General features: G+C 38.1%; 1 annotated feature.

The window, feature by feature from the left end:
* Positions 568–1,123: an enhancer, noted in NCBI's record as "NANOG hESC enhancer chr3:69655392-69655947 (GRCh37/hg19 assembly coordinates)". NCBI's record gives its function as "activates a minimal SCP1, AML or CMV promoter by ChIP-STARR-seq in naive H9 embryonic stem cells {active_cell/tissue: H9 hESC(naive)}" and the evidence as "EXISTENCE:reporter gene assay evidence [ECO:0000049][PMID:30033119]".

Raw genomic sequence — 11,557 nt, 5'->3', positions numbered from 1 at the left:
TGAGAAATAAATAGCTACTTCTTGAGTGCTTGTCTATTTAAAAGAGCAGAGGGGCAAAAGAGAGGAAAAACAATCATCATGGATATAATGTTAAACATAACAGAGTTAAAAATGATAGCTGGGCGCAGTGGCTCACACCTGTAATCCTAGCACTTTGGGAGGCTGAGGCGGGCAGATCACGAGGTCAGGAGATCGAGACCATCCTGGCTAACAGGGTGAAACCCTGTCTTTACTAAAAATACAAAAAATTAGGTGGGCGTGGTGGCTGGCGCCTGTAGTCCCAGCTACTCGGGAAGCTGAAGCAGGAGAATGGTGTGAAGCCGGGAGGCGGAGCTTGCAGTGAGCCGAGATCGTGCCACTGCACTCCAGCCTGGGTGACAGAGTGAGACTCCGTCTCAAAAAAAAAAAAAAAAGAAAGAAAAGAAATGTTCCGTTTCAGTGTTACATCCTGCACTTGTGTTAATAAAAATAACTAGCCTTTGGTTATTTAAGATATTGAAAGAACAATAAAAGGTTAGTGAACTGATAAAAATGTCCCTTAATATGGAAGTTCTACAAGATGGTTTAGATCCAAGAGGAAGGAAAAAACATCAAATGAGCACCAGCTTGATGCTAAGCACAGAATATTTAGTATTTTATTAAACCTTTATGACTAAGAGGTAAGCATCAGTATCACAATTTTATAGATGAGGGACTAGCCTTATGCAGGTTAATAATCCTGCCTGAGAGCACATAGTAAATGAGGAACCAGGATTTGAATCCACATCTGCTTAATTGCAAAGCCCATGATCTTTCCTCTAAGCACATAGCATCCCAGACACAAAGACCACTGGGGAAGTTTTAGCAGAAAATACAATTCAAGAGTCAAGTTCTTTGTTATTCCAATGGATTGTTATCTTTCCTGCTGCTTACTTATATACCTGTCCCTGTGATAGCTGAGCAGTGCTACAAAGTTAAACACAGCTGGCTCAATGGAGAACATTCTGGAAATCTTTTATTGTGCATTTTTAGGATTTTGCAATGAGGTTCTGCAAGACCACTCCAAGGTGAGATAATGCATGCCATATAACAACCATGACTTGGGAAGTAAAGACTTCATCATGAACAATGTCACCAGTTATTCCCTTCCAGCACAATTAGGTTGGCTAGTCAGATCGCAACTGTCAAATATGGGTTACTATTTTTTCTTTGCCACATTAATGAGTGAGGATCCAACATATTAATTACAGTGTAGAAACCATCCATCACATACTGCATGAGTGGTGTGAAGACTACCACGGGTATTCCTTCTGTTTGTAACGTGCAGGCGTGAGACATGTCAAAACAGAAGAATAAAAGCTGTCAGAGCTTAAGAGCTAATGTTAACCCATCCAGCCACATGTTTACTATAGACTACAATGGGTCTCATTTTAGGCAAGGAAACATAAGTCATATTCTCATTAGAGAAAGCAGCAAATGATAATTTGTACCTATAAAGGTAATTGAAAGTATACACACAATTTCCTTCAGAGCCTATGCCAAAAATATGCACAGAGTCTTGGAACAGAAAGCTACTGTGGGTGTTAAAATGTTGCTTTTGGGTTAGACAATTCTATAATATTGATTCTGTTGGGTCAGGTTCATTGCTTAGTAGCAATAACCTACAACATGCCCTTAAAACCTTACGTAACACCAGGGTTGTCTCTTTTACAAAAAAACAAAAAAACAAAAAAACCCAGAACGTTTTAGGCTGTTTGAGCTTAGGCTGTATGGTGTCAGGGGACAATGGAGCAAATTTTAGAAATCTTGGTTTCCCAAGAACCTGGCTATAGTACCTGACTAAAGGAGGCTTCTAATAAATGTCTATTGAATGGATGAACAAGGTATTTGTGGCTTTTTGGTTTACTTTAAAAAGTTAGTTCAATAAGTGCTGCTTATTTCTGCTTAAACTGTCAAATTATCTTTTGTGTAGTTCCTTCTACGTGACTCATAAAATCCTTAGACCCCCTTCCAATGATGTTTCTTATAGGCATATAAAAGACGTCTGTTTTTTTAGTTAGATCTTGAAGGCGAAGGCAAGCTAAATTAAGCATGGCACACGTCTCTGATCAACACACATTTCTCTCTGTCCTCAAGATCCTTCACAGTCTGGCAATTCTGGCAGCTGCTCCAGTTGGCTGAATTTGGCCCAAAAATTGAACCTGTGTATTTATCCTCCTTAAGCTAGATTTCCTTTTGGGACAGATAAATTAGAGAGATACATAAAAAATCAATTGGCGAATTAAGGATTTCTACGCAAAATGTAATCCTATTGGCAATACAGTTCTATCGGAAGATAAATTTTTTGGTTTTGCTATTTCTTCTTTATGAACATGTTAAGGTTAGAAGAAATCTCTGCTGTGTTATCTCCTCCTGCAGCCTGCTTCCAAGAGTACGTAGCACCTTGTGTGGGAGCATTTTATGCAACATAATAAATAAAATATGCTGTAATGATTCAGATTCTACTATTTCCAAATATAAAATCTACTACAATTCAACCAGGAGATAACAAATGATACTAGAATAATTTTAGAATTTTTAGAACTGGAAGGAATGTTAGTGATGATCTAGTTCTGCAGTTCTCCAACCTCTTGGCTTTAGGACTCCTTTACAAACATCAACTTATAACCATTTCCAGGTCATGGAGAGCCACCAATGGACTTTGTGAACAAATCCATTGGGAAAGATGCCCCATCTTTCTCTGGGATTGCAAACTGAGAGGACTATGTAAACCTTGAATTGCTGAGAGCAACTCTCAGGGCTTCAGAGAACATGTCATCTGCAGAAAAGATCCAACATACAGGCAAAATCAAAGCTGAATGCTATGGAGAGAGAGCATCAAAAACTTCATGTCAGCCCCTAGATTCAGCCATCCCATAACTTAGACATGCTAAGCAACCTTAACTGGTTCACCTCCCAATTAAGTAACCCATAAATTCACTTCTGCTTCAACTAGTTTGTGTGAGGATTCTGGTCACTTGCAATCAAGAACTTTTAGTTACACAAATAACCACATTTTAGGGCTATTTTCAGGATTTGGCCTAATTGATGTAAACCACCTAGCACAGAATGAGAGATTCCATAGTCATCTTTATAGCTCTGGTTGATTGCAAAAATGGCCTAGGTTCATCACCCTACCCTGTTTCTATGCCCTTTGCTGTGTAACTCTGTAGCACTCACTCCCACCCTCTGACTTGAGGCTCTGCTGTGTGATTTATTGTGTCAATAGAGTTTTAGGAGGCATGATGCAAACATGGTGGTTGTGGGCTACTGGGCTTGCTCTCACTCTGCCATCATCATAGGAAGACAAGTGATAGTTTATTAAAGGCTAGGTTCAATGTGGAATCTTATCAATGAACTTTTTGTATTCTGTGTCACTAAAATCCATTGGTCTAACTTTTACTTTAAATGGATCTTTCAGCCACATATGATATTGTAACACCATCTAGCCAATCATTTGGAAAATATTGGTTTATTGAATTGTGCTGATCTCCTAAATACTGCACATTTCATTAAAATACCAAAAACACATATGTTAATATTACCACCAATCTCATTGGAAAAACTCACGGAGTCAAACTCATGGTGTCAAGCTAACAGTAGTACTTATAAAAATTTCCAACATTCACATTTTCACTGGAAAGCTTGATTTTTATCATTGGCAATAAATCCTGTCCGTTGTTTTCTTTGTAGTAACCGTTTCACTTTACTCATTTTCAAGAAAATGGTCCAACAAATGTCCTAGATTGAATAACAATCCCATGAAAAGTAGTTTTATGAAACAGAGATCATGTCCCATGAAAAAAAGCAGTTAGTTTAGCTCACAACTCAAACAATTGCACAAGTGCTTTTCCTCAAGACAACTATAGTACTTCAAAAGTTAGCAAAAACGCTTCGTACGTACTTCTCGTTTTGTCACACAGAAAATTGAGGGTTGGTACTTAATAAGGCTAATAACTTGCTGCATCAAACACACTTCAGTGGAATCATCATTTATTATTTTTATTTTGTATTACTATTATTTGTACCTGTAAATGTGTGGCAGTGAAGAATATCATGGGTACTAGGACAGTTGGGTATCTCTGTCTTGTTTCCCACCAAGACCCAGCAGTTTGGCCCATCGTTGCTTTTGCGCCGGTGTGCAAACATGAAATAATAAGAAATGAAATGATAGGAAATGTTGTAAAAGATGCTACTTTTAAATTTAATATACATTAAACCATTTTTCTTGCATCCTAGTATAGTTTTCTACAACCTAATTGCAATGACTTGTTCAAAGAGCAGTCTTTGTGAGCATCTGCTCACAAACCTCCCTTTCCCATAAAAGTAATATCAATCTTCTAGTAGGTGAAGCTACAATTTTCTATGCAGTATTTGTAGGTGCTTAGTTAAGGCTACAGGGTAGAACCTGGGCATCCCATGAAAAGAGTTTACTTTCCTATGTACAAAATTATGTCCATATTAAAATATTGAATCTGGAGAAAGATTACAGTCACATCCGCAAGCACCTGGGGTGGCAGAGGTTTGAAAGACAGCTTGGTCGGCGGCGTCTCTGCATCTTGCATTTGCTGAACAGGCTGAGGGGTCAGAACTCATGTGTACATGAATGCTGGAAGGGATGAGCATGTTGCCAATCTAACTTGCCCTTTCTGATTCTTCTTTCTTTTTGCTAAACAATGCAATAGAAGAAGTCTATACCAGATGTCCTTGAAGGTACGTGCCTAAGAGAAAAACTCCTTGAAAATTTCTTCCTCTCTTTGCACAAATATAGACAGAGGCTAAGACCTTCCATGAAAGTCATAATCATGGAGCTATGGAAATGGATACATTGTGTTATCTTGCATTGTTAAATAGGATTCACTTAGTGGTATACCGATAAATGTTTCACAACTGAGTTCTTCAAATAGAGAAGCTCCTATTTGTAATGTTCGCTGATTTCTGTGGTATAAATACTCTCATAACGGCTAATTTTAAACTACCAACCTGATATCACTGAACATAGAGTTAGAAAGAGAATTGCATAACTGGCTTTCATGAGCTGGTACAAGCTGGTTCTGGCACACCACTTATTTAGTCATTCCTTCAACCAGATATTTAGTGAGCTTGTACTCTTGGATTTGTAATCTAGTGAGGATGATAGACATTAATCAAATTGTCACAGAAATAAGAGTTAAACTAAAGCAATTGGGTGCTATGAAAGCAGACAGTAGGAGGTTCTCGGGGTTTTTTGTTTTGTTTGTTTTTACCTTGTCTGGGGGTCAGAAAATACTTCCCTGAGTGTTATTTGTCTATTTGTTCTCCAATGTAGGCTACTGGTTTCCAGCCAGAGGGAAAAATAGCTTCTGAAATCTAGGTATCATTCCTTCTCTCTTGGTAACCAGTTCCTTGTATTAAATCTCCTGTATTTGAAATACCTAAGTGGATTCTCTTTTCCTAACTAGGTTCTGACTGATGTACTGAGGAAGTGACTTTGGACTGAAATCTGTGAGTATCTTAATTTGAGTTTCTCCCAGAGCAAACCCTTTGTCTCACAAAGATTTGAAGGCAAGTAGGGGCAGGGAAGTAAGACAATGGAGTAAATGAAGCAAATAAAGGGGAAATTATCGAGCAAGTTACTACTGTAAGCATCTGGAGCTTCATTCTGTCTGGGATTCTGGAAGACTGTGTTGAACATGCACCTCAGAGTTATTCCATCCAGGGAGAGAGGGAGCTGATGTATGTGTCCATCAATTCCTAACCATCATTTGTTGATGGCTACTTCTGAGAGTTATAATTCCCTAGCATTTCTGACCTGCTCTGCACGCGGAAAGTGTGCATTCTTGTGATAAAGGGAAAAAACAGACAAGGAAACTCAGCCATTGGCATTTAGAAGTTGAGGGGCCAACAGGCCCAGAAATGTTCAACACCAAGGGGATATGGTCAATGAGTGCCACAGGTAAGTAAAAATTAAGTTGCTATGTATTTAGCGGCATGAAAAGTAAATGAATACCTGTGTAAAAAATATGTTCAAGGTTATCTAGAGTCGGTTCAAAGACTACAATGAGAGATTCATAAGCAAACATCTTTATATATTGGAGTTCAGCAGTTAAATATATTTGGACACCACTGTAATAATAAGTATCCTAAGCCAACATGAATTTTTGTTGCTATCCAAAAAGAGCTCTAGAAATTTCCAATCTTTGGCCTATGGAAATGTGCAATTGATAAATATGTGTTAAATTAATATCAGTCTTTAACCTCATCCCTAACACTACCCTCTTTTCCACTAAAGCCCTATATTCCATTGTCACCAAACTGCCTTCACTTCCTCTGTTTTGAGCCCATGAATTTTCACAAGCTGTTTTACCTATCTAGAATCCCCACCTCTCTCTCTCTCTCTCTCTCTCACACACACACACACACACACACACACACAAAATCTGTCTGGTCGACCCCTACGCATTCTTCCATACCCAGCTCATGTATCAGCTCCTCTGTAAAGCTATTCCTCACCCTCAGGATTGGATAAGATTTGGTTTACTTCTCTGTATTGTATATAGCAGTACAGTGGGTGGTTAAAAGCAAAAACTCAGTAAGAAAACCAAACCCCCTTTTTTATTGAGGAAAAAAATCATATAACATAAAACTAACTATTTTAAGGTGTACAATTCAGTGACACTTAGCACATTCACAATGTTAGGCAATCATCAGCTCGATCAAGTTCCAAAACATTTTCAATACTCCCAAAGGAAATTCTATACCCATTAACAAGTCAGTTCCCATTCCCTCCTCCCCTTATTCCCTGACAATCATTAAACTGTCTTTTGTTTTCATGAATTTACCTCTTCTAGATATTTGATAGAAATGGAACTATATGTGACTGGTTTTTGTGTCTGGCTCTTCCACTTGGCATGTTTTCAAGTTTCACATATGCTGTAGCATGTATGAGTACTACATTACTTTTGCTGAAGGTTGCTGTAAAACCTTCCATTGTGTGGGTGTTCTATATTATGTTTATGTATTTATCGATCGATGGACATTTGAGTTGTTTCCACCTTTTGACTATTGTGAATAATTCTGCTATGAATATTTGTGTACAAGTATCTGAATGCATATTTTCAGTACTTTTGGGTACATACCTAGGAGTGAAATTTCTGGGTCATATGGTAATTCTATCTTTAACTTTTTGAGGACCTGTCAAAATGTCTCCCATAGCCGTTGCACTATTTTTCATTCCCACTAGCAAAGTAAGAGGGTTTCAATTTTTTAAAATACCCAGTTTCGAATCTGGGCTCTCCTGCTAACTAGCTGTTCAGCCTTGGGCAAGTTACCCTTTGTGTCCAATTTTCGACATAAATAAAGAAGAATAGAATAGAACCTAGCTCAGATAATTTTTTTGAGGATTAAATGTGTTAATATATGTAAAACACTTAAATAGTGCCTGGCCCATGGGAAGCACTAAGTGTTAGCTATTTTAGTTATTTTCTGCTGCTATGGCATTCATACATTTCTAAACAAAACATTAAAGGCTGTCTGCCCTTCCAGATTTTTATCTCCACTTCTTAGCACAGTACCTGGCAAACAGAACAAAGTCAATAAGCGTTTGGAGAATTAAGTGGATGATAAAAGCCAAAAAACTCTCAAAAATAAGTGGATAGAAATAGAAGTCACATTAAATATTAAAATATGACCTGTAATGCCGTGCTTTGGGAGACCAAGGCAAGAACAATGCTTGAGGCCAAGAGTTTGAGACTAGCCTGGCAACATAGCAAGACTTGTCTCCTTTTTTTTTTTTTTTTTTTTTGATACAGAGTCTCACTCTGTCTCCCAGGCTGGAGTGCAATGCCGTAATCTTGGCTCACTGCAACCTCTTCCTACCTGGTTCTAGCAATTCTCCTGCCTCAGCCTCCCAAGTAGCTGGGATTATAGGCACCCACCACCATGCCTGGCTAATTTTTGTGTTTTTAGTAGAGACGGGATTTCACCATGTTGGCCAGGGTGGTCTCAAACTCCTGACCTCAAGTGATCCGCCCACCTCGGCCTCCCCAAGTGCTGGGATTACAGGCATGACCCACTGCGCCCAGCCTACTTTGTCTCTTAAAAAAAAAAAAATTAGCTGGGCATGGTGGTGCACTCCTGTGGTCCCAGTTACTTGAGTGACTGAGGCTGGAGGATCACTTGAGGCCAGCAATTAGAGGCTACAGTGAGTTAGGATTTTGCCACTGCACTCCAGCCTGGGTGACAGAGCAAGATAGTATTAGACAAGAAAAAGAAAAAGAAAAAACAAAGTGTTGTGAAATTGTTGACATACAAAAAAGAATGAGGAAAATTCAGACCTGACACCAAATACCAGAGTAAATCCAGATTAATGTAAACTTTTATATAAAATAAAATTATAAAAAATGGCAAGAAAATTTGAGCAAATATTGTTGTATTTCTGCCTATGGAGATAAAAGCATGAACTAAATGTTGAAGAAAGAGAACAATAAATTTGACCATTATAACAAAACAGAAAAAGACTCTGCTCTTCAAAACGTAAATAAAAAGGCAAACAAACTGAGAAAAAATACCATAAATATGACGAAGTATTTATATACTTAATCTATACAGAACTCTTATAAGTCAATAAGGAAAAAAAATGGCAGCAATAGAAAATTAGAAAAAGGTAGCTGAACAGTAATTTCCAAGAAAAAAGTTAATAAAAAGCAAAAATAAACAAAACTTATGAAAATGAAAAAGACTCAATTTTACTGTGAAACAAAGGCATGCATGTTTTAAAACAAGGAGAAGCCATTTTTACCCTAGAAACTGATAATTCTCAATGATGATGTGGGTACCAAGATGGGGACTTCCAAACATTGCTGATAGCTGTGCAAATTGTTGCATATTTTATATTTTCTGAAAATTCTAGAATTTCTTTCTTTCTTTCTTTTTTTTTTTTTTTTTTTTTTTTTTTTGAGATAGAGTCTCACTTTGTTGCCCAGGCTAGAGTGCAATGCAGCAGTCTCAGCTCACTGCAACCTCCACCTCCTGGGTTCAAGCAATTCCCTTGCCTCATCCTCCCGAGTAGCTGAGACTGCAGATGCGCACCACCATGCCTGGCTAAGTTTCGTATTTTCAGTAGAGACAGGGTTTCACCATTTTGGCCAGGCTGGTCTCAAACTTCTGACCTCAAGTGATCCACCTGCCTTGGCCTCCCAAAGTTCTGGGATTACAGGTGTGAGCCACTGCGCTTGGCCTAGAATTTCTTTTAATGAAACCATATTGTATATTCTCTTCTGTATTTGGCTTCTTTCACTAAGATAATGCCTTTGAGATTCATCTAAGTTACGGTATTTATCAGTAATCTTCTCTTTTAATTGCCAAGTAATGGCAATTGTTGGCATTGTATGAATATGCCACGAATGATTTATTTTGGGCATTTAGTTTGTTTTCAGTTTTGTGCTATTACAGATAAAGCTGTTATGAACATTTGTGAATAGATCTTTGAACATGTTTCTTTTCTTTTCTAATGAAATTACTAGATTGTATGGTAAGTATGCATTACATTTTATAACAAACTGCCAAACTGTTCTCCAACATGTTTGATTCACTTACATTCCCACCAACAAGGTATGAGACTTGTAGTTCCTCCACATCCCCATCCTCACCAACATTTTGTAATGTCAGTCATTTTAATTTTGGCCAGTCTAGTGGTTGTGGATTTCCTTATTTATTTATTTATTTATTTGAGACAGAGTCTCGCTCTGTCGCCCAGGCTGGAGTGCAGTGGTGCGATCCCAGCTCTCTGCAACCTCTGCCTCCTGAGTAGCTGGGATTACAGACATGCATCCCCATGCCCAGCTAATTTTTGTATTTTTAGTAGAGACAGGGTTTTGTCATCTTGCCCAAACTGGTCTTGAACCCCTGGCCTCAAATGATCCACCTGGCTTGGCCTCCCAAAGTGCTGGTATTACAGGTGTGAGCTATCACACCCGGCAAGGATTTCCCTTTGTAAAACAAGAACATTTCAAGGGTGGTGTTGTGTTTTTCATATTGCATCACATCTTGGCACATGTCTGGTTGTTCCATTCTTAGTAGGCTAACAGTGATCAGTAGGTTCAGGTGGGCAAAAGCCTGATCCATCCAAACTTCTATCTAAGTGTTTTATCTCCTGATGGTATTGTTTCATTAGGGAGCACAAAATGGTAATTTAAAAAATCATATTATTCTTTCGACATTTTTGCTAGAATTCTTCTATAAACAATTTTCACAAATTGATCAAGGCTATTTGATTATACTGAAATATAGTTTATACAGGAAACAGGATAAATCCTTTATTCTCTCCCTTATATTGTCAAGTTTTAGTACAAGGACTTGGTGACCTAATTACTTGCATTAATTTTTTAAGTGTTTTCTATTGAATTCATAAAATCTTAACAATATAATGTTACATGAACAAAGCGCACTAAACAATGTCTAGTAAGATCAATGGTCATTTCTACTGTGTAGAATTATGGGTAGGTCTTATTTAAACTGTACAATATTTTCCAAATTTCTATCATGAAAAGAAATACTTATAACATTGGTCCCAAAACAGTTATAGGACAGGCACTGTGGCTCAAGCCTGTGATTCCAGCACTTTGGGAGGCTGAGGTGGGCGGATAACTTGAGGCCAGAAGTTTGAGACCAGCCTGGCCAACATGGTGAAACCCCGTCTCTACTAAAAATACAAAAAAATAAATAAATTAGCCAGGCATGGTGGCACATGCCTGTGATCCCAGCTACTCAGGAGGCTGAGGCAGGAGAATCACCTGAACCTGGGAGACAGAGGTTGCAGTGAGTCAAGATCGCACCACTGCACTCCAGCAGCCTGGGCAACAGAGCAAGCCTCTGTCTCAAAAAAAAAAAAAAGAAAGGAAAACTTGCAATAAGTTAACGCTGACCCAATCAATGGATGGCTGGATTAATTCTTTTTAGATTTTCTAATTTAATAGTTGTGTGCAGCTGTCTATGGAATCGTGTATATTGTAAAGGATAGTGGGAGTGGGAGCCATTAAACAAGAAGGCAGAGTTTTCACCCAGCCAACTTTTGAGTCTCTTGTTAAAGGCATTTTCTTTCTTCTCTTAAAAAGAAGTGAAACAGAATGTGCCAGACTTTGAATAAAACTGCTGGCAAGAAGAAAATGTCAAGGGTTACCAATAAAAATTCCTAAAATAAACTTGAAAAGAGAAACACAGCAGGTAAAAGGCCTCACACTCCTCTTTATGTTTGTGGATAAATAATAATATTTAGAAACATCATATTAACTCTGATATTTCTAATGTTTTGTAATTCATGGTGATATTCATGTGACGTGTCAAAATAATGCCATTTACTAGTGTGCACCTTTTAAGGGTTGAAATCTTCAGACCAAAATGAATGCTGCTTTAAAGAAAAGCAACTCAGTTAGTAATTTTTCTAAAGAGTGATACTGATTGGAAAATATGGCCTCCTTTGACTCAGGAGCCCAGGTCTTCCCTGGAGCCATGGCTTATTTATGGAAGTTGAACTCTAGCATTTTCATCTTCAGCATTTAAT

Source organism: Homo sapiens, chromosome 3, assembly GCF_000001405.40.
Source record: "Homo sapiens chromosome 3, GRCh38.p14 Primary Assembly".
NCBI lineage: Eukaryota > Metazoa > Chordata > Mammalia > Primates > Hominidae > Homo > Homo sapiens.
This window is presented reverse-complemented; position numbering and strand designations above follow the sequence as displayed.